The sequence below is a fragment of the Homo sapiens genome, chromosome 11 (genome assembly GCF_000001405.40).
Source record: "Homo sapiens chromosome 11, GRCh38.p14 Primary Assembly".
In the NCBI taxonomy this organism is placed as follows: domain Eukaryota; kingdom Metazoa; phylum Chordata; class Mammalia; order Primates; family Hominidae; genus Homo; species Homo sapiens.
In genome coordinates, this window is record NC_000011.10 from 126,488,370 (window position 1) to 126,512,308 (window position 23,939).

The 23,939-nt window shown below is 49.1% G+C and overlaps 1 protein-coding gene across 17 annotated transcripts in view, besides 1 other annotated feature; it reads right to left on the reverse strand.

The window, feature by feature from the left end:
- KIRREL3 (kirre like nephrin family adhesion molecule 3) overlaps positions 1-23,939 on the reverse strand; it is a 580,037-nt gene that overhangs the window by 65,012 nt on the left and 491,086 nt on the right. The window lies entirely within an intron of this gene.
- Positions 5,998-6,768: an enhancer, noted in NCBI's record as "H3K4me1 hESC enhancer chr11:126364262-126365032 (GRCh37/hg19 assembly coordinates)". NCBI's record gives its function as "activates a minimal SCP1, AML or CMV promoter by ChIP-STARR-seq in primed H9 embryonic stem cells {active_cell/tissue: H9 hESC(primed)}" and the evidence as "EXISTENCE:reporter gene assay evidence [ECO:0000049][PMID:30033119]".

The following is a 23,939-nucleotide window of genomic DNA, read 5'->3' on the forward strand; positions in this document are numbered from 1 at the left end:
TCCTGAGCCTCAGTTTCCTCACCTGTAAAGTGGAGCTAATATGTGCCTCGAGTAATGCAGGATTAAAGGAGAAGATGTAGTAGGTCCGCAGTCGTGGAGGCAGCCTGCTGGTCAGCATGAAGACAAAGGCTGCTGCTGAAGACCCACTGCCTTCTCTTGTGTGAAGATGAGCTGCTCCCCTGGTTAAGGCAGAGTGGCAAGGAAGCTCAGACCAAATGCATTTGTGCAGTGGAAGAGAAGCAACATGGAAGGAGCCGCGGCTTCCAGTGACCTGGCCTGTGGCCCAGGGAGCTGCAGATGGAGGCTCCGTGAGCTGGAGCCCACACCCTCCCACCACCCATGAGCCACACAGGGAAAGCCTGCTAGGTGACTGCTCTCCTCTGGCCTCTCCCTGCTCCTACCTGTTCCCCACAGGGGATCCCCCCAAAATGACGATCTAATCAAGTTGTCCCTCTGCTTATGGTGTCCAAAGCCCCACAGCACCCAGGCCTGGCCACCTTTGCAGCCTTACCCCGTGCCCGTCTCCAGCCAGGAAGACGGGATCCTTGCCGCAGGCCACAGCCACATAGCCACGGGCCTCGGACCCTGGATCTGTGGCTCTCTCCTCCGAGACTGCGCTTCCTTTCCTTTCCTGACTTGTGGACACCTACACGATGTTCAGTGTTTGCTCAAATGTGCCCTCTGACCTCCACTAGACTGCGCTTAGGCATCTGGAGCGCAGCAGTCAGTCTCATCCTGGGGTGCATCCCAGGGCTCAGCCTGGGACCTCAGCATGGGGCTGAGCAGGACGGAAGCTGTAGATGGATGCGCTGCGTTTGCGGTGGAGAGCCGGCTGCATGGGAATCACTGCTGGCTGGACCCGGGTGCCTGGCTCGATGGGAGCTTCCTAAGGGAAGCAGCCCTGTCATGTTCCTCTTTGTCTCTCTCTCCTGCCCCAGCTCAGCCTGCACGGAGCAGGTGCTCAACAGATGAGCACCCCATCAATGATGGAAGGGTAAGAAGAGACGCCTGCATCAGGTGGGAGTTAGGTGGGGAAAACAAAGCTTCCAGAGGGGATACTTTGGGAGGCGCAGATCTAGGACACATTGATAAGCATGGAGTGTCAACTATGTTCCAAAAGCTTCCTGATGGCCCTATTGTTACTCCATCTTGGATTCCTGGGTCAATTTTGGGAGATGCTGAGATCTGTAGTCCATAAGGGCATTGCTGGATGCAGATGTGTGAATCACCATAAGTTTGGACCCAGGACAGCTGGTGTCCCCTGGCTTTCCTGAGACCTTGGACGTGCCCCTTCCCCTCTGCATTCCCCACTCTCCACCTTCCACCACCCCTTTCTCAGGGGCCCATCAGCTAGGCCTAGCAGCCCTTGGATCCTTAATCACCTCTGTTCTTTTGCTGGCTCTCTCTGAGGCTTCCCTTTCAGCTTTGATGAGCAACTCACTTGCCATGGAAAGTGTGTTGTTCATGGCGGATCCTCTATCAAAAAACAGGATGGTGTCGAGTTGCAGTGGGTGCGCTGGGATCAGTCCGGGTTAAAATACGTGGGTCTCAGCTCAGATCTCCATCCCTGGCACTGTGCAGGAATCTGGGCGTGTTAGTGCTGCATACGTTGGGGAAAATGAGACGTGTTGCTTGGAAGCAGCCCATGAGCTGCTTCGAGGAGTGAACGGGGTGAGGTGTCCAGTGTTGCTTTGAAGTGAAATGTTTTGGATGTGCCTTAAAGTCACAGTTAGCTCCCATGATGGGCATTCGTGTTTGTGGCCAGAGGCATACATAATCCAAATCTGGTGTATAATTGAGAATATTATTTGCATTTGGCTTTGGAATGCATTGTGTGTGTGTGTGTGTGTGTGTGTGTGTGGCGGGGGCGGGGGAGGCAAGGCAGCTTTACTTTCTGTGTATGTTTATTTTAGACTCCCATTAGCATTAATTTGCATTCACTGGACACAGCCGCTAGGGAGAGGTGAGCAGAGCTTTCTCCCCATGAAGTATTCTTCAGCCTGGCCCTGTCCGTGAGCCAGGTTATTGGAAATAGACCATGTAGGCCTGTGTTCCACGGGTGCTCAGAAAAGACCATGTAGGCCTGTGTTCCACGGGTGCTCAGAAATCCTGGGGGCTGAGATACAACCTCAGTGAACAAGCCACTGGGCCAGGGATGCAGAGCTGTGTTTGTGGTGAGACCTGGGAGCGACTCCTGGACTCCCGGTTCCAGGCTGCATGGCCTTGGATACGTTAATTAGTTATTTGAGCCTGTGTCTTCGTCATAAAATAAGAGGGATAATAATTCTGTGAAGGTTAGGAGAAGTTCCATGGGATGGCATTTGTGACGTCCCCAGAACAGGGCTCAGTGAATGCTCATTCCTTTTCTTGTCTCTCCTCCCTCCTCGTCTCCCAAAGAATGGGTCTGCCTTCTTCATCTCTTGCGAGTCTGGGACTCCAAGGGCCGAGCAGAGCCGGCAGTAGCATTTGGAGTCAAATAGGAAGACGCCACTGCTTCCTTCTGGAGTGCAAGGTCAGGCAGGGATGCTCATTTGCTCTTAAGGGTGCAGGGGGTCCACAAATGCCTGAGGATCCACAGCCCACCTGCACGAGGAGGGGGCGTTTGGAGGGTGGAGGAGAGCCTGTTGTCTCTTTGGAGAATGGGGCAGGGCTCTGTCTGGATTTTGGGTCCATCCCGTAGTGGAAAGGGGTCCTATGTGAACAGAAGGGAGGGCTTCAGATAATCCTGAAACCGGAATCCCAAAGACAAGCCCTGAGTCTCCAGGCCACCACTTTCTACCTGCGTGGACTCTGGCGAGTTGCACCTCCCCGGGCGTCAGCGTCTGCATCTGAAAGTGGGCATGGCGGTGAAACCACCTGAGGGTCAGGAAGGCTGAGTGAAGGCCAGAAGCCTGTGAGCCTGAAACTCTGCTCAGGTGTCCGAATGTAATGTGAGCCCAAGGAGGGCGGGCGCGTGCTGGCTCTGAGCGGGTGCTTTATTGTGTGATGGGTGGGGACACTTGCTCTCAGGGGGAAAGAAAGCGCCCTCTCTTCCTGCAGGGCTGGCTGAGAACTAATTCAAGGCCATGTGACTCTGGCTAAAGCCTGCATCCTGGTTCTCTGCTCCCATCTGGGCCAGACTGTTGGACTCCAGTGTTGTCTGTCCCCCGAGTCGAGGTCTGGGGCAGGTAAGGAGGCCATATCAGGAACACCTGCCCATGTCTGTCCCCAGAGAGAAGACCCAGGAGTTCAAGCATGGTGCAGAGAAGTTGAGCAACATGCCCAAAGCAGCCAAGATTACCGTTTCTTTGTGCTCCCCACACACAGATTTGGATGTTTTTCTTTTTTTCTTTTTTCTTTTTTTTTATATTTATACGGAGTCTTGCTCTGTCACCCAAGCTGGAGTTCAGTGGCATGATCTCGGCTCACTGCAACCTCCACCTCCCAGGTTCAAGCGATTCTCCTGCCTCAGCTGCCTGAGTAGCTGGGACTACAGGCGCGCACCACCATGCCTGGCTAATTTTTGTATTTTTAGTAGAGATGGGGTTTCACCATGTTGGCCAGGCTGGTCTCGAACTCCAGACCTCAAGTGATCCTCCCGCATCAGCTTCCCAAAGTGCTAGGATTACAGGTGTGAGCCACCACGCCTGGGAGATTTGGAGTATTGATAGAGGGATTTCAGAATCTGGACTTTTATTGTCTCACTTCCCTTCAGTGAGCCAAAGGGCCCCATCCTTGCTTACCTCAGTTTCCTCCGGGCTTATAAAATGGACAAAAGGATAAGTTGCAGAGGGCCACCGAGGAACTGGGAGGATGATCTATAGACAGTCTCCTCTTCACTGAAAGGGGAAGATGGGCTCAGGCTGCAGCGTGAGGGAGTGAGGTTAGACATCTGGAAGAACTGTTGTTGGAGACACAGCTGGGGAAGGGAGGTCAGGCCTCTTTTTCCCAAGCCTGTTCCCCTACCCCCGATGAGGGATGAGGTGGATGTGACAAGGTGACATGACCCTAAGGCAGGGGGATGGACCTGGTGGCTCTGCAAAGCCCCTCTCAGCCCCTGTCCACTCAAGTACTTCCTCATTAGTTTTGCTGAAGTTACTTCCCTGCTCCCAGTTAGCCCCTGTCCGTCCAGTTCTGAGAGGTGTTTCTATCTGTAGGGGCCGAGGGGCTAGGGGAGCATGGGGCTGGAGTGGGAAGGAGGAGGAGGAGGGATGAGGCTGCCAATTGCCACCGCCACACAGCAAGCGTCACCTCAGCTGTTGGAGGGGAACAGCCACCAGGCCATTTTTATGACTTCCTATCAAACTTTGATAAATTGACTCTGAAAGGGCCTTTTCTTCCAAGCAGTTCATGCCTCAGTGACTGTTAATGGTGAAATATCAAGATGCTGAGGGGGCTCTGAGCTGGACCGTGCAGGGAGGACTGGCTTCTTACCTGCCCCGAGACCCAGCTCTTTCCTCCTCTTGGATGCTCTGGAGAGGGAGGGGGCAGGACTAGATAGAGACCTCCAGGCAGATGGCAAGGTTGGTCTCCAGAAAAGACAGACCAGGGGATGAGGGTGGAGGAATTAAGTTAGACATGCCGCAGAACTTCCTGGCCGTGGGCTGAGTGACCCAAAAGGCCGTAGAACAGCCTCGGTGCTGCGGCTAACTGACAGGGGGCAGGAATTGGCACTGCTTGTTGCACAGCAATTTCCCTGCAGGGATTGACGTGGAGCGTCACAAAGACAGTGAGGTAGGCAGTGAGGTAGGCAGAGTAGCAACCTGCCTCTATCTCATGGCCTCTCAGGGCAGGCAGCAGCCCTCCTGGACTCAGGAGGAAAGGGCTCAGTGGGGACCACAGGCATTGAGCCCAATGCCTCTCAGGCATCATGCAATGAGAATTGGAGCTGGGCTGGGCGCGGTGGCTCATGCCTGTAATCCTAGCACTTTGGGAGGCCGAGACGGGTGGATCACGAGGCCAGGAGATTGAGACCATCCTGGCTAACACGGTGAAACCCCATCTCTACTAAAGATACAAAAAATTAGCCGGGCACAGTGGCTCACGCCTGTAATCCTAGCACTTTGGGAGGCTGAGGCGGATGGATCACGAGGTCAGGAGATCGAGACCACCCTGGCTAACACGGTGAAACCCCACCTCTACTAAAAATACAAAAAACTAGCCGGGTGTGGTGGTGGGTGCCTGTAGTCCCAGCTACTTGGGAGGCTGAGGCAGGAGAATGGCGTGAACCCAGGAGGCGGAGCTTGCAGTGAGCTGAGATCGCGCCACCGCACTCCAGCCTGGGCGACAGAGCAAGACTCTGTCTCAAAAAAAAAAAAAAAAAAAAAGAGAGAATTGGAGCTGAACCTGAACTTCAAGTCCAGAGAGGTTTCCCTACAGCCCCCCTCACCCACAGCAGCCTGCATCTTCTACTCTGCCCCCAGCTGGCCCCGCCTGGGCAAACACATGGTGACAGGGCAGTCGCTGGCCCAGAGCTGCTTCATTCCTACTTCTCCCTTCCTTCAAGGCTGGTTCTGGGTCCCGGAACCATCCTTTCCTGGTTCAGGCTGGGTGCAGGCCGTCCAGCACCACCTCTCTGACTCAAGGCTGGAATTAGTGGGGAGGTGAGTGAGGCTCTTGTCTCGGGCACAAACTTTAAGGGTGTACTCAAAACCCCAGTAATGGAAATAAATAATATCTTAATGCAAATTAAACAAATCAGAATGAATGTAAAAATATCCACGATGAGGAAAATATCACAATTTTAAGTAAAGACAGGATTAGGGAGCTGCAGTTAATTAAGAATTGTTTAAGATGGTCACTTGGTCAAGAGAAATGGTCAAAATGCCAATTCTCTCAGTCGAAAATGAGATAAGCAAAGAAGTAGATGATTACTATTACTGGTGAGTTATTTTCCATTACAGCCAGGAAAGTAAAATGAAATACATTCTGTTTTTGCTGTAAATAAAATATTTAAGTGTAACATAATGTTGGGGATTTTAATACACCTGCTTTTAAATGTTTCAATATTTTTCCAACTACTTCAATGTTCTGGAAAAAATTTACCACTTAAAGAATACTTTAAAAATATAAATGAGGTGCACGTTTTCCCTCTTGCTGCAGGGTCTATTGTGACTTGGCTTGGTGCTGTTGCTGATCCTATCTTTGTCTAATATTTTGATATTTTGCTTATCATGGATTTTTTCACATTCATTTGGATTTTTAAAAATATTGCTTTAAAATATTATTTGTCTAGATTATTGATTCTTTGGGTACCCTTTACATTTTGTGCCTGAGAATGATGCCTCACTCTGAACTTAGTTTTATTCTGTTCCCAGAGAGGGAAGCTGCCTCTCTATCCTGTCCTTGGTGGGGATAAAATGGAAAAGGATCCCTCCTCGGGCCCTGGGACCCACCTGGGGCATGTTCAGGCCTGAAACTGTTTTGGGGCGGTGAGCGCTAGGACAGGCGCAGGCTGCCAAGGAAAGATGGATGGGCTCCCGAGGCCCACAGACAGAGACGGGCAGCCACTACCGAGCTCATCCATCGGGACCCCTGTGGGATGACACTCACCTTAATCAGGCCACAAGGGCCCCGGGCCTGAGGGATGCGGGTGGCGTGGGACGGGGAGAAGCGGGTGAGCAGACGCTCCTGTAGGCTCTAAGTTGGTGTCTGGAGAGGAGTGAGAGGTTCAACCAGGGTGGCTAGGCTGTGCACTGGCCAATTCCAGTGGGCACTGAGCACTTAGCTGGCCCCTCTTAGGCCCTGACCTCCAGGCAAGTCCCAAGGTCTGTTGCTCGGACCCTGGGCTGTGCTGTGTGTGGGGAAGGACTAGCAGGAAGGGAGGAGACAGATGGAGGAGGACACTTAGGGCAGGGCCTGCAAACTGGCTCTTCCTTGCCTTTCAGGAACTCCCAGTGGCTTTCCCTTGTTTGCAGAGTGCAGTGTGACCCATCAGCTTGACTTCCGGGCCCTCTGTACCCTGGCCCAAGCCTCTCTTGCCCTCTGAGCCCCAGAGATCCTCTACATGAACCTCCCTCTCTGCGCCCTACCTCCAGCACCCTCTGACCTCCCTGCCTGACCCCAGGTGGTTCTGCTTTCTCCCCAAAGCCTCCCTCGACTGTCTGTGTTCCTCGTCTCCGCTCATCCTTGCTGGCCGGGTTTCTGGTTGTGGCTGTTGTGTGTGTGGACGTGTTGCTAGGAATGAGGGCCTGAGTTATTGTTTATACCTGGCCTTCCTCCTCCGGGTCTAGCGCCACCCCAGCAGCAGATGCCTCAGGAAGGAAGCGACCCTGTTGTGTCCTCCCTGCTGTGACACCAGGTATAAGCAGAAACTTATGGTCACAGTCAGGACCATGGAGGAGGAGGGGCACTCAGAGATTCACCTGCCCTCTCTGAGCCCATGTGGGCACTCCCTGCCCTTCTCACCGCTCTCCTTGTAAAAGGCAGTGCTGTGCAGCAGCCTGAGGATCAGGACACTGGGACTCTAGTCCTGACACTCAGCAAATGGCAACTGCATGCTACCAGGAGCTCAGGCCAAACACCTTGGGATTGTCCTTGACTTGCCCTTTCTCTCGTATCCTAATTGCTGTGGGCTCCACCTTTGAAACATGCACAGATCATCCTTTCTCAGTATCTGCACTGCTACTACCCCAGCGCTCCAGCCCCTAGCTGTTTGCATCTGCATAGCCCAGGCAACAGACATGTGACCCCAGCCCCTCCTATGTCTGATTGCAGAGATCCAGAACCATTCAGCTAAGCCAGGCTCAGTTTCTTGACCTGCAGAAACTGTGAGAGCTAAGAAATGATTCCTGTAATTTTAAGCCACTGAGCTTGGAGGTGATTTGTTATGCAGAAATTGACAACCAGACAGATTTTGCAGAACTAGCCAGTCAACTTTCAAAGGTACTTTGTGCTCGGAACATTGAGAGGCACTGTGCTGTTTGCAAAATGCTTTCTATACACGTTCATCTTTCTCTTTACCAGAACCCTGAACACTGGTAAGGCAGGCATTCTTAGTCCTCACTTTATAGATGAAGAAACTGAGGGTCAGAGAGGCTAAGTGATTTGGACAAGGGTACACAGCTGAAAAATGAAAGGGCCAGTCTTAGGGCCTAGGAATTCCCATGATAAGTTCAGTGCCTTCCCTGCCACCCCATGGCTGCCATTTCTTCTCACTCCCTTCACAAATGAGAACCCAAGGTGTTGGCCAAGTTTGGAGGGAGGGGTGGGTGTGATGGAGGCAAAGGGAAGGAAGACCACATCCACAGGGTCTTGGGAGGTGGGGTGGAGGGACATTCCTGGAGAAGGAGGCTAAGTCTGGGGTAGGTGTCAAGAGACTGAGGGCTACTCTTGGCTTCTTGTATCTGCCAAAACCCAAACAGAAGCGCTCAGAAATGTTGGAGGGCCTGCGTGCGAACTCAAGGCCTGAGGCTGTAGGCAGGGAGTCAGGGCTGGGGAAGCTGGGCTCAGCCAGGGGACTGAGACATAGGTCACAAATCTAGGAGACTTCTCTCTGGGGCCTCTGGAAGCTGGGGCCAGTTCTCCAGTGCCTCAATGTCCCGGAATTGCTTCTTGGAGGCCAATGAGAGTGGGCAGAACTGAGCAATGGAGGAGGAGGCCCACCCTTGCTGTAGGGAAATGGCCAAGGAAATGCACCCCAGCCTGGGAATCCTGTCAGGGAGTGGGGTCCAGTGCTTAGCCAGAGCAGCTGCATACAGGACCACACGTGACACAGAGGCATGTGAGGCTCTGCATGTGCCTGGGCTTAAAGCCTGCTTGGCTGTGTGTGTGTGTGTGTGTGTGACAGAGAGAGAGCGAGAGAGTGTGAGAGTGTGCATGTGTAAGAGAGTGTGTGAGAGTGTGAGTGTGTGTGAGTGTGAGTGTGTGAGAGTGAGTGTGTGTGAGACAGTGTGAGTGTGTGCGTGACAGTGTGAGTGTCTGTGTGACAGGGTGTGTGTGTGAGAGAGAGAGAGAGCGAGAGAGAGTAAGACAGAGAGAGAGAGACTCCCTTTTCCCCAAAATGTCACCAAGGGGGGTCATTTTCTGTGTGCCTGCCATCTCTGTTCCCAGTCACCAGCATATTGCAAGTCAAAGGGAGGCCTTTCCGGTAATTTGAGCATTTCCAACAAATAACTCTGGTCTCCCAGTGCACCAGCCTACAGTGGCCGCAGGGCCACAACGCACTCTTCCCAGAGCTGCTAGAGCTCACCTCTGCTCTTCAGCTCAGATTCTAGTTGGCATCTGTTATCACAGGGAACTCTCTCTGGATGGAGATGCTCAAGCTCAGAGAAGTGAGCAAACTCTCTTCTGGTTGCACAGCGGGCTCTCAGCCTTCCCACTTCTGGTAAGCTGCTTGAACTGAGAAGTCACTGATTTTTCTCACCAGATGAAGAAGCCACGCCAGTGCACATGGATGCATGCCTACTAATGTTCAGCCCCACCTCCAGGTGCTCTCTTGGGGAGGGAGGGGCCCCTATACCGGTCCTGGGTGGGAGTTTAGTGTAGCTCCTCCTTCAGTCACCAAGCACTTTCTCTGTGCCAAGCCTGGGCCTGAGCCTGGAGATTCCAAGAGGATTAAGCCATGGTCTCTGATCCCCAGAGAGTTTGTGGGCCCCCGTGGAATACACACAGCCCCTTCCTAACCTTCCTAGGCCCTGCAGATAAGTGAGTCAGGCATCTGGCTCAGTAAAAAGTGTCTTCTCCATTTTATGGACAAGGAAGCAGAGGCTCAGAGAGGGTAAATGACTTGCCCCAAATCACACAGCCAGTAAGCCTGCTTAGTAGCTCTACTGCATCACACTGGTCTGGACCAAGCTGATTGAGTGAAAGGGGGCAGAGTTGGGGTGGCCATCAAACCCCTAAAACCCGAGGAGGGGAAGAGAGGGGTAGCACAAAAGAGGATTTACTTTCTTCCCCCAAAATGATGTCATCAGCTAAGACAAAAAGAAAAAGAAAACGCCCATTTTCTCACTCCAAGTTTCCCCCTCATTAATTTTAATCTAATTTGCTCATAACATTCCTCAGTAAACAGCAGCCTCTCTTTAATAAGCCAGGCTCTTCCCCCCGACCCTGCGATTGTGTTCCTAATCAGCCAGTGTATCAGGAAAGACCTGCTGCTAATTGTCGCTAGGCATCACACTATCCTGTCTGTCAGGTAAGGGGTGGCAGCGAGAGATAATTATAATCAGATCTAATTAGTAATTATAAAAGATCCCGACTAGAAATTGTTTTCAGTTAAATATTCCCAGAGAGGTGCTAATGGTCTCCGGGGCATGCCAAGTGTCACAGCCAGGAGGGGAAGGGGCCCGTGACCTGGCACCCTGTGACGACAAGCAGAGGAGACTCAGTGATGAGAGGAATGGTGTGTCCATGGGGACAGAGCTGGCCTGGCGTCCCAGTATCCTGCTTCCTGGGAGGAGCACCTTCCCTTCTGCACCTAAGGTTGAGTCCCCCTCCCACAGGAGCACCTGCGTGGGCCCTCAGTAAATGCCAGTTCTTCACAGGCTCAGGACCTCGACGCACGGAAACTTCTGGATCATTAAAGAAGCTGTGTGGGCCAGGTGCAGTGGGTCCGCCTGTAATCCCAGCACTTTGGGAGGTGGAGGCGGGTGGATCACCTGAGGTCATGAGTTTGAGACCAGCTTGGGCAACATGGCCAGCATTTAATGCAAAAATTAGCCAGGTGTGGTGGCACATGCCTGTAATCCCAGCTACTCGGAGGCAGAGGCATGAGAATCACCTGAACCTGGGAGACGGAAGTTGCAGTGAGCCGAGATTGTGCCACTGCACCCCAGCCTGGACAACAGAGCAAGACTCCGTTTCAAAAAAAAAAAAAAAAGCTGTGCGTTGCTCAGGCAGCATGGGATATTTCTGCTGGAATCGTCATTGCATTGAATGGGATTAAAGGCTTTACCTAGGAGTCCCCTGGCTAACGAAAATCCATTGGGTGACTCTCCGCCCCACTTTAGTGCCTCCTGCCTCGGGACTTCCCCTTTCTTTTTCATCGTTAGTAAGCATCTGCAAACTCCCGGTTGCCCTACTTACTTTCTGTTAACAGGACCTAACTACCCAACACTTCCCTGCCTTCAGATTCACGCCCCATACCCTGCATGGTTCTGTTCCTGGGACCCTCGGATCAGGCGATGAGCTCTCTTAAACACCTAGGACGGCTCCACACTGCCCACAGCCAAATTCAGATGCTCCAGCGTGGCTCAAAGCCCTTTCCACTGAGCCCCAACCTGTTGACTGGGCTGACATCCGACTACACTTGCTCAAGCATTGCACGCCAAACATCCCAAACGCTCACGTTAGGGAGTGGGGGCAGGGTGGGCGTCTATCTTTCTGTGCCTTTGATTTTGTTGCTATGATTACGTTTTCATTTTCCAGCTGCTAAAATCCTACCCATTCTACCAAGGGAGAGTTCGGTAGTTACTGAAGTCTTGTTACTGAAGTCTTGTGAAGTCATCCCAGATTTTCTGAGTTGAAATGAACACTTCCTCAGTATTGTGCTTATATATTCGAGGGCTTCTTTTATCCTGCCTGGGATGGTAGTGAGTTGTTTATGTCTTCTCCCTCCTTTGGCAGTAAACTCCTTGAGGGCACAGAGGGCATTTTGCTATTTCTGCATCTTCCCATTGGGTCTGATACAATGCTTTTGCACATCGTAAGCATTTAATAAAGATGTGAAGGATAAACGAGTGAATGTATTAATGGGAAGCTTCTACCCACTGACTGCACTATGATTTCAATGTAAATGCTTCTGGGAAGCCGACCTCTAGTTCCCCAGGTCCAGATCCTTGAACCTGTCTTTATTATTAGATGCTGTTGGGTTGTCGGAGTACGATTAGGTGGAATTTGGCCAGTAGTTGCAGGAATCTCAGCCTCCCCAAAGCCACCTGATGTGAGGCTAGCGTGACTGACTGAGGAGCTGTATTTTTAGTCTTATTTAACTTGAATTAATTTAAATTTAAATAGCCACTGTGGCTAGTGGCTTGGTGCATCTCAGCTGAGAGACCTTGGAGCCACCACTATGTAGGGCAGCCTGGAGAGTCCAGACTCAAAGCCTGCTTGGTGTCTGGTGAGCCTGGCTACAAGCGACTCACATTAATTTAGTTGAAAAACAGGATGTGGCTGGACACAGTGGCTCATGCCTGTAATCCCAGCACTTCGGGAGGCCGAGGCGAGTGGATCACTTGAGATCAGGAATTCGAGACCAGCCTGACCAACATGGTGAAACCCCGTCTCTACAAAAAGTACAAAAATTAGCTGGGCGTGGTGGCGGGCACCTGTAATCCCAGCTACTTGGGAGGCTGAGGTAAGATAATTGCTTGAACCCAGGAGGCAGAGGTTGCAGTGAGCTGAGATCGCACCACTGCACTATAGCCTGGGCAACAGAGTGAGACTTTAACTCAAAAAAAAAAAAAAAGAAAAAGAAAAGAAAAACAGTATATATTTTCACTGCATTCTTATTTTTTTCAGTGCTGATACCAGATCAGCATACTCATAACTCTGTTAACCAGAATGGGAGACTAAGTGGGGAAATGCCACGCTCTGACCATGTGAGGAGTTCAAGTATAATTTACTTCATTCACAGCTTCTTGAATGGCTGCTGCTGGTCTGTTGCATTTGTCCACCTGTTTGCATCTGCATGCGGATCCCAAATGTCAGCCTTTCCCCTTCTGACGCCCTCCACCCGCTGCCGAGACATCTCCGTGTAGCTTTCCTGGCTCTGCCTCTCCCAGCCTCCTCCTCTGGGTTTCATTTCCTTGCTGTGAGCCTTGTGCGAGGCAGGATATCTCCAGTGCAAGGACACTACTGGTGGACAGCTGGTCCGTCCCACACTTTTCTCTGCACGTCTGAGGAGTCCAGGAGGACTGGCTGAGGCTGCAGGCAGGAAGCTCAGTTGGGTGAACCCAGGCAAACCCAGGAGTCAGCCTGGCTCTGGCCCTAGCTTGAACGCCTCGGTTGTAGTTCTAAAGCCTATTCATTTCCTCCATGTTCACATCTTTAAGAGGGGAAGACGGGGCTGCAGAGGGAGAGGAGCCAGCTTGGGGCCTGGGGTGCAGTCTTAGAGACTAAGGAGGCTCCTCTGGGGAGCGAGGGTGCCCAGGTGGGGAAGGCAGAGCGCAGGTCGAGCAGATTCTACCGCAGCCCGTCCTGGGTCCTGTTGATGTGCTACACATTGCAGGGAGCATTTTCATCCCAGGCGGTGCGTGACAAAGCTAGGATTTGAACCCAGGCTGTTCAACTCCAAGTTCTGGGCTCTTTAAAATAGGGCAGTTATTAGCAGGGAAGGAACACACTGCCCACTCATCTATGACAAATCAATTAATTTGTCCAAATTCCACTCATGCTTTCAAACTCACTTAAACCCTCCTTAAAGCCTACACTTGCCAACTCGCCTGGCCCTGGGCACTGCTTGCCTCTGCCTGCCTTTGCCTCCTTTTCCCGCTTCTGTTCCTAGTTCAACCCCCACCCACATTGTGAGCTCCCTGAAGGCAGGTCCATGTCTGGGGTGGGCCAGGTGAGGGGTGGAAAACATCGATACCAGTGACTTACATGCACCCAGGTGCCAAGGTAAGCACGGACGAGTGGGGACTGGTGGGCCACATCCCGCCCAAGGGAGCAGCCATTACATAATTGTTTGCAAGCAGGCAAACAGGCATAAACTGACCAGGTCTTTGTAAGAGAAGCCAGAAATCAGAATTTTTTTTTAATATAAAACCCCCCAGAATCTTAAACATGGATAATGAATGTAAAAAACTCTACAGATACTCCGGAAGCTAACCGGATCCATCCATGTGCCTGCCCTGGCCTCCCCTTAATTGTCAGCTGCTGCATATGAATCCAGGTTCAGCCATTCAAAAGTTCTCTGCCCACTTGAAAAGGGTCTCACCTTGGGCAGATCTCATGCTGCCTAGCACAGGGGATGCATCCACTCACCGCACTGGACCAGCACACCAGCTAGGGAAGCACAGTTTGAGAGCTCCTGGGACCTGTCCTGGCTGTGCTGCCCACAGCCCCTCCTCCACTCCTCCTGGCAAGAGGAAACAGGACAGCTCCTCCTGCCCAGGCACAGTCAGAAGAAGCTGTCCCTTCTGGGCAGGCACACCTCAGAGGGAAAGCAATTCAATTAAGCCCTGGTTCACAGCGAGTGCTAAAAACCTCCCTCTGGAGAACCATTTTCTGCTATAGATTTTTAAGACCAGCAGCTGGAGAATCACTCTTCCTTTTTCTCTTTTGGTGCTGTGTCTCTCTAGTCAATAAATAAGTGGGAAATAAAGTATTTGCAAGAAAATAGAATGCAGTCGAAAGGTAAATTGTGGACTTAAAAGCCCCTAAGAGACTGGCGCAGACTTGGAAATGTTTCCTAGTTTGACACCTCTTGCTTCTCTAAGCCCAGCTTCTGGCTCTCCGATTTGCATCTCCAAAAGGTGATCTTTAAAACTGATTTCCTTCAGTTGCATTTCATTGGTGTAGAAACTAAGCAGGCTGTTGCATTACAGTAATAACATCAACATTTCACCTGCCTTCGCCTTAATTATTTTTCTCTCTTGCGATGGAATCCATTTAATAAGATTTACAGGTGGCAAGGAGGTGGGGTGAGCTGGTGTGCGGCTCAGATAATCGGCCAAGCTGATTTCTCCCTCATTGGGTGTCACCAGTATAAAAACATGAACTAAAAGCTTTGCAGCGCTTAAGTAATAATAATGTCAGCATTTCACCTGCCTCCCCTTGATTATTTTTCCTCCCTCGTTCTTGCCACCTGAACCTGTTTAGATAAGATTGCCACACAGATAGAAACCAAGGGCTCTCATTCTCTTAGATAAGCTGCTGTTTTTCTATGGTTTGGTGTGAAAAGGGAGTGTTGCTGGCAGAAAGGCTCTGTCTCAGATCTTCCTGGTGGGGGGCGTCCGAGCCTGTGGATCCTGGGTGGACCAAAGGCAGCAATGGAGTAGGGGGCAGGTGGCTGTTAAGGTGGATGTGGGCACTCGGGTAGGTACCCTGGCCTGGGAGCAGAGGAGGAACCATCTCTAAACATCTGCTCTCTCCCCTAGATGCCCCTAGGGGATCCAGGCAGGGACGAATGGGTTTCATTTGTTGAGGGGGAGGGGTTCTGATTATGCAGCACTAGGCAAGTCTCCAGTGTGGTATAAAAAACATTTGGGTAGCCCTAGCTTTACAACTAGTTAGCTGGGTGGCCATGGGGAAGGAACCCAACCCTTCTGAGCCATAGTTTCCTAAAAACAAAGAGGTGGTTTGCTGTGGACTGAATGTTTGTGATGGCCTCCGGCTGCAGTTAATATATTGCAACTCTAACCTCCATTGTGATGATGTGGGAGGTAATTAGGGTTAGATACTGGGAGGTAATTAAGCTCATCAGGGTGGAACCCTCCTGATGGAATTAGTGCCCTTGAAAGAGGAAGAGAGAGAATCTCCCTCTCCCTCTTTCCCTCCCTCTCCTTCTCTCTCTGTCTCTCTCTCTCCTTCCTTCCTTCCCTCTCTCTCTTTCTCCCTTTATCTCCCTCTTCCTCTTTCTCCCTCTCCCTCTTTCTCCCATGCTGGAACCCTTAACTCAAACTTCCAGGCTCCAGACACAGTCTGGAGAAATAAATGCTTGTTGTTTAAGCCACCCAGTCTATAGTATTTGTTATAGCAGCCTGAGCTAAGACATTGGTCTGGATTATCTTAAATTTTAAACTTTAAACTTTTGGGGACTTACTGAATGACTCCTTTGAGAATGTGAAACCACTCCCCAGAAATGTGCACATATATTCTGAATATTGCGTCCAAGCTTTGTAGGGATAAAAGGCCCCACACCAAAAACCTTGGCATCATCTGTGACCCCTCTCTTTCTCTCATAGTAACTGTCCACTATCTCTGCTGCTGCTATTCCAGCCTGAGTCCCTCATCTCTTCTCTGTATTACTGCAAGAGCCTCTTAACAGAGGCTCTTGTCTTCCCTTGTCCTCTTATGGTCTCTTCTCAACCTAGCAGCCAGGGTGAGTCTTTTAAAATATCACTCAGATCCCATCGATCCTCTATTGAGAACCCTTCCATGAGTGATTTTCTCTTCAAATAGAAATTTGGCTCTAAGATCCACAGCTGACTTCGTCACTTCTATGAGTCTTTGTTTACACAAAGTCAGCTTCTAGAGGAAAAATATGAATTGACCTATATCAAGTAAAGAGATTGGACTAATAAAAATCTTCCCATAAAGAAAGCCCTAGACCCAGATGGCATCATTGGTGAATTCTATCAAATAATATCAATCCTTTGTGAAATCTTCTAGAAAATAGAGGAGGAATAAACACTTCCCTACTCATCCTACAAAACCAGTGTTACCTGATACTAAAGCCAGACAGACATAATAAGAAAAGAGAACTATAGACTATTGTCCATCATGAATTTAGATAAAAACCCTTTAAGATATTAGCAAACTGAATCCAGCAACATATAAAAAAAGATTATATGCCATGACCACATGGGATTTTTATCCCAGGAATTCAAGGTTGGCTTAACATCTGAAAATCAATTACTGTAATACACTATATTAATAGAGTAATAAATAAAACTATATTATCATCTCAATAGATGCAGAAAAAAACATTTCACAAAACCCAACACGATGTGTAGTAAAAACTCTCAACAAAGTAGGAACAGATGAAAACTTCCTCAACCTGATATAGGTCACCAGTGAAACATTTTCTGCTAACATTATACTTTAAAATAGTGAAAGATTGGATGCTTTCCCCTAAGATTGGAAACAAAGCCAGAATGTCTGCTCTCACCATTTCTATTCAGCATTGTACTGTAAGTTCTAGCCAGTGCAATAAGACAAAAATGCATTAGGTTGGAAAAGACAAAGTAAAACTATCTTTCTTCACAGACAAAATGCTCCTGTATGCAGAAAATCTTAAATTTACAAATAACTATTAGGTTTAAAAAATGTGTTTATCAGCCAGGCACAGTGGCTCACACTTGTAATTCCAGCACTCTGGGAGGCTGAGGCCGGTGGATCACTTGAGGCCAGGAGTTCGAGACCAGCCTGGCCAACATGGTGAAACCCCATTTCTACTAAAAATATGAAAAATTAGCCAGGCGTGGTGGTGGATGCCTGTAATCCCAGCTACTCAGGAGGCTGAGGCAGAAGAATTGCTTGAACCCAGGAGGCAGAAGTTGCAGTGAGCTGAGATTGTGCCATTGCACTTCAGCCTGGGCAACAAGAGTGTAACTCCATCTCTTTAAAAAAAAATGAGTTTAGCAAGATCCAACAGTCATACACAAAAATTAATTGTGTGTATATATAGATACACCATCTATATATAATCTTAGCAATGAACAATCCAAAAATGAAATTAAGAAAATTTCATTCACAGTAGCATCAAAAATAATAAAATGCTTAGGGATAAATTTATCAAAGGAAGTACAAGATGTACACTGAGAACTAGAAAACACTGCTGAGAAAAATTGAAGACGTAAAAAAATAAAGAGGCATTCCATGTTCATGGATGGGAATACTCAATATTGTTAAGGTGGCAATTAATTCTAAATTGATCTATAGCTTTCACGCAATTCCTATCAAAATTCCAGCAACCATTTTTTTGCAGATGTTGACAGACTAGTCCTAAAATTCATATGAAAATGCAAAGGACCTAAAATAGCTGGAACCATTTTGAAATTCACTGTGGGAAAGGATAGTCTTTTTAAACAAATGATGTCGGAACAATTGGATATCTGTATGCAAAAATGAATTTAGGGCCTTCACAAATCACTAAAACTTAAAATGCACCAAGATTAAATATAAAAACTAAACTTGTAAAACTTATGGGAGAAAATACAGTAGTAAATCTTTGTGACCTTTGATTAGGCAGAGTTCTTAGAGACAATATCAAAAACACAATCTATAAGAAAAAATTATCAAACTGAACTTGATTAAAATTAAAAGTTTTTGTGCTTCATAAGACACCATTAAGTAAACGAAAAGGCAAACTACAAACTGAGAGAAAATATTTGCAAGTCGTATATCTGGTAAAGGACTTGTATCCTGGCTATAAAGAACTCCTATAACATAGTAAGACAAATGATTCTATTTAAAAATAGGCAAAATATTTGAATAGACATTTTACCAAAGAAGATACACAAATGGATAATTATCACATCAAAACATGCTCAACATCCTTATTCATTAGGGGAATGCAAATTAAAACCATAATGGATACCACTTGAAACCTGTAACAGTGTTGGCAAGGATGTAGAGAAACTGGAATGCTCATTTATTGCTGGTGGGAATGGATACAGCCACTTTGGAAAACAGCATGGCAGTTTCTTAACAAGTTGAGCATAAACTTTCCATATTATGTAGCCATTCCACTACTAGGAATCTACTCATGAAAAGTGAAAACATATAGCCACACACAGACTTGTTTGTGAATGTTCATAGCAACAATTTTTTTTTTTTGTTTTTGGTATTTTTAGTAGAGATTGGATTTTGCCATGTTGGCCAAACTGGTCTTGAACTCCTGGCCTCAAGTGATCCACGTGTCTCAGCCTCCCAGAGTGCTGGGATTACAGGTGTAAACCACCACACCTGGCCAGCAGCATTCTTTATAATAGCCCCAAACTGGAAACAATCCGACTGTCTGCCGACTGGCGAATGGATAAACAGAATGTGGTATATCCATATAATGGAATACTATTCAGCAATAAAAAGAAGTGAACTACAGATACATGCTACAATACAGACAAATCTCAAACACATTTTTCCAAGAGAAAGGGGCTAGACACACAAGGCCACATATGATATGATTCTACTCATACCATATATCCAGAAAAGCCAAATCCAAGAAGCACTGCATTGGTTGCCTGAGACTGGGTGGGAGTGAGGATTGACAAGGGATCGTTTTAGGGTGATGAAAATGTTCTAATACTGGATTGTGGGGGTGGTTGCACAACTCTATAAATTTATTAAAAATAATTGAGTTGTACACTTAAAATGGATGAATTTAATGATAATGTAGAGTTTACCCAAATAAAGCTGTTAAAAAATAAGGGGAAAGAAAAAGGCCACTTCCCCATGAGGTCTATTCCAACCTCTCAACACCTCCTTTCCCTAGGAAACCCAACCCCTCACACTCTGCTCTACTTTTTTTGAATAGCATTGATCACCTTCTAATACACTATAAAGTTTTCTTGTTATGTTTTTCGTCTAACTCCCTCCGCTACAATATGGTTCGCGGAGGTAGGAGTTTCAAGTCTGTTTTCATCGCTAATGTATATTCTCAGGGTCTAGAACAGTACCTGGCATGTGGAAGGCACATATACAGATGCTGAAAGATGAAATGAATGAAGAATTCTGGATTAAAGGGCTCCTTCATCTCTAAAATTATCTAATCAAAGGTTTTTGAGGGTCTTTCTGGCATCTTCTTGTGTTTCTTAGCAGACCTGTTGCCCAGGCCATGTTGGCATTTTGGGCTGAACCTGGACGTGAGACGGGGAAGTCCCGGGGGACCCTGGCTAGGGCTCAGCGTTGTCTGGAAGAGTAAGAGGACCAGCTCTCCCTTGCCCATGCCTCGTGCTGCCTCTAGCTATTTCCTTTGTTGACCTTAGTTGACGCATCTTTAAAATGAGTTCTCTCCAGCAGCCTAGTGACTTCGTTTGTGTGCGACAAAGGGGAAGGGAGCAGTGGGATTGGGGGTAGGGCAGAGATAGTCCTTCCTGGGGGGTGGCTGTGTGGCCATCAGCCTTCTCCTCCCTTTCTTGCCTGCACCACTGAAGCTGCTGGGTGATCTCTCAGCTGCTAACATTGTTTCTGACATATTTTCACATGAAAACCTCTTCCTTTATATAAACATTTATAAACACCTGGATCGACTTGTGAAAGTGTGACACATTTTTTGGAAGCCAGTTTTTTCGGGTTGTGGGACTCAGCTATTTATTTTTGTGAGATGGAGGCTTCTGGGTGCCTATGAACCTCCCCCTTGGAAAAACCTCCTTCACACGGACAGAACAATTTAGAGGCTCAGAGTGATGGAGAAAGACGCGGCAGGTGGCCGCCCAGAGGATGATACTGAATGGGATGGCAAATGAATGCTGCGGGTCTCGGGGCTCCCCAGGTCCATCTGAGGAGGAGGGGCTGCCAGGAAGGGTTTTTGGAAGCCTTGGGTTTGCTCTTCGAGCCGACTCCCCGATTCCATGAGCCCTGGGATGGTGGAAGGGTTCAAGCAGGGCTCCTGGAGTTCCCAGGGGCTAGGAAGAAACCTGTTTCATAGTGATGATTTTAGGGGGAGTCAGGCAGCAGAGAGAGTGGAGTTTGGAAAAGAGGAGGGGCATAATTGAGCATAAAGGGCCAGGGTTTCAGAGCCAGAAGCGACTGCATTCAGATTCTCGTTCTTTACCTTTCTTGTGTGTGACCTTGGGCAAGGTAATGAGCCTCTATGTCTCAGCTTCCTCGTCCGTAAAAGGGGACACGGGACCTGCCTGGCAGAGCTGGTCAGAGGGCAGATGAAGGCATGCGAGTGGGTTCCTCAGCACAGTGCCTGTCATAGAGTGGCAGCTCACCAGCGTCACCCTTGCCCTTCTCTCTTCTCTCCACTCGAGCAACTCACAAGCTGCCCTTTCTGTGCATAGAAGGTGTGGCTGAACTTAGATCTCCTCATCCCTGCCTAGTGGGGCACATGCAGGGTGCAGCTCCCGGAGTCTGGGACCATCAGGACCTCTGAATGGGGGCTTTGAAGCTGTGTCCAGTCCCTGTCTTTCCTAGTACCTATCAGAACTTCTCATGAGTGAAAGCCAGTCTCCTAGGCATGAGCATCTTATCTCTGATGAACCCCCCAGCTTTTTGCTCTGACATCATGCCACCGTTTCTCATCATTTCATGGGATATACCTTCTGCTCCTGCTGGGGACCCTCACTCACAAGCCCTGTTCTGCCTGGACTGATTCTCACCTTGCTCTTTCACCCAGGTGAACTCTCAGTCTTGGAATGCCCTCACCCCTCCTTCATACTCAATCACGTCTCTGCCACCCTCCAAGCTTGGCTTCAGGTGGAGTTCCTCCAGGAAGGTAGCTGTGTTGAACACTCACTGCCTGACCTTTTCACGTTCTGTCCAAACTCTGAGACATTATTTTAGCTGGTATGTAGGTCATGAGGTTGACATTAGGAAGAACATATCAGGTTCTCCATCCTCTTTTTTCCTTTTTTTCCCCAGCCATTCTGTGTGTGTTCATAAATGTGACATTCCCATGATGGACCCAGATTTTGCCAGCAGTTTGCAGAATGGTAAAGTTTTGAATTAAAGTCAACAGCTTCCAACTATCTGTCACTTTCCTGCCTTGTGGCATCCTGCCACCACAGAGGCACCAACATATCTCAGCACTCAAATTGGGCCCAGCGTGGTAGCTCACACTTGTAATCCCAGCACTTTGGGAGGCCAAGGCGGGGGAATCACCTGAGGTCAGGAGTTCAAGACCAGCCTGGCCAGCATGGTGAAACCCTGTCTCTACTAAAAATACAGAAAATTAGCTGGGCGTGGTGGTGCACATCTGTAATCCCAGGAGATTCGCAGGAGAATCACTTGAACCTGGGAGGCAGAGGTTGCAGTGAGCCGAGATTGTGCCACTGCACTCCAGCCTGGACTGGACAACAGAGCAAGACTCCGTCTCAAAAAAAAAAAAAAAAAAAAAAAAAAAGAAAAAAGAAAAAAAGAAAAAAAAGAAAACACACACTGCTCAAATTGAGAACTTTGGATCTGGGCTAATATTTCACCTGGGGCTGAAATTGTCTGGGCAGAGCCTGCAACAAACTGCTCTGGGGACAGCTGGATAGGAAAGGAACATCCTTAAATGGTTCTGGCTCTCTTCTCTCTGAATCTTCCCCTCTCTTGGGCCAGCCCATGACTTCACTCAGCTCCAGAACTGGCAGATTTGCTGCCATCATCTCATCTCTGGAGATGAATCTATTTCCTTCCTATAGAAACAGCATGCAAGAAAACTCAGCTTCTGCTTGAATACTCCCAGAGACAGGAAGCTTACTACTTAACTGAACTCTGTTAGTTTTAATTGTTGAGATAAGAAATGTCCTCCCTGACGTTGTTTCCTTCCTTCCTTCCTTCCTTCCTTCCTTCCTTCCTTCCTTCCTTCCTTTTTTTTGAGATAGGGGTCTCACTGTTGACCAGACACTGCACCCTTTGCCTCTTGGGTTTAGGCAATCCACCTGCCTCAGCCTCTCAAAGTGCTGGGATTACAGGTGTGAGCCACTGTGCCCAGCTACCCTGGCTCTGTTTCCATCCTCCGGAGCTCCAGAGTAAATCTATTGTGCTTCTTTAGATATTTGGGAGGGACCCTATTCCCCTACATCTTCTCTCTAGTGAGCTGAACCTCCTCATTTTTAAAAATTGTGTACACAGTATCTCTCTTATGTCTTTTACAGGCACTGCGTCCCTGTTAGACTTCAGGGACTTTGCACTGGCCATGGTGCTGACCAATCACAGGCTGCCCAGGCCAAGGATTGGGTCTGGTGCTGCTGGAGATACTGACTGCTCAACTCTCTCTCTGCTGTTGCTCCTCTTCATCTACTCCCATCTCCCATGGCCTGAGTTAAATCATGACAGTTGTCCTGGTGCCTCCAGGGCTAGTGCACATAGGGAAGTAAATGGCTGAAATTGGGAGGAGAGGAACACACAAGGGCCAGTGGCTGGGCTCCCTGGAGATCTGCAGTGCTGTGTGTGTGTGTGTGTGTGTGTGTGTGTTGGAGCAGAACAGAGAGTTGTTGGTTGTGCCTCCATCTCTAGAGTCTGCAGGGATGTCACCAGGTATGCCATGATGAGGAGTGGTTTCAAGAGCTACACAGGCCAGGCGCAGTGGCTCACGCCTGTAGTCCCAGCTACTTGGGAGGCTGAGGCAAGATAATTGCTTGAACCTGGGAGGCAGAGGTTGCAGTGAGCTGAGATCACGCCACTGCACTCCAGGTTGGGCGACAGAGGGAGACTCCATCTCAAAGAAAAAAAAAAAAGAGCTATACAAAGAGTGGACCCCCCAGGCTGCCTGGAGAGGCAGTCGGTCATGGGTCCCCAAACACCTCTCTCCACTGGACCTACAACACAGGTCCCCTCACAGCAGCAAGATAACAAAGCTGTGGCCATTCCCACTCCAAAGGCAGCAATGCATCTTTCCTCTGCAGGACACTGACCATAGCTGTTAGTCTTGGCTCCCGGCTCATGGGCATTGCGTCTTCTGCTTCTGTGGTGTCCTATCCTGCCCCGAAACAGTGGGGGCTCCCTTAGGCTCTGGCCCCTGCCAATCTTCCAGGACCTCTCTTTCTCTCCAGGCTTGGCCTCCGCGAGTCTGCCTTGGGTTGTGTGACTTTGTCCCTAAACTCCCTCTGAGGATGACACCCCTCCGTCACCCCACTGGCTGCCGGGGGGAAGGCTTCCATTTAGTGGCATTTTCCTTTCTCATTTCATGCTGTAATGGAGATTCATTGCCAGTTTTAAATCCATAATTTGCTGTGAAACCCTTGTTTTGGGCCTGGGCTGAGGTCGGAACGGAGAAGCGGCGGGTTATTTTTAGCCCTCAGAGGGCTCCCTGTGCAGCTGCAGCTCCCCTGGGCTTCCCCCAGGGCGGGCCTCAGACAGCGTCCTGGGTTTGACACCCAGGATGCCCAGGAAGCTGGAGCTGGGACAGGGGTAAACACACACGTGGGACTGGCTGGCCTGCCCCTCCCTCAGTTGGCTCTGGCTCTGTTCCTCCTCCATTTCATGAGATGAGGGGGAATCAGTAGAGAAACAGGGCCTCATGCCGATGAGTCTGTGCTTCCATTACCCCCCTCTTTCCTGGGCCTGACAAGGAGTGAGGGTCAGTACTTCAGGCCTCCAAGAATGTGTCCATTTCCTAACAGTGACTGATCCCCTGACCGGATGTTCTTGTGTCTTTCTATCAGGGCGACACTGATGATTTGGCTCTGAGGTGTGTGTGTTAAGTA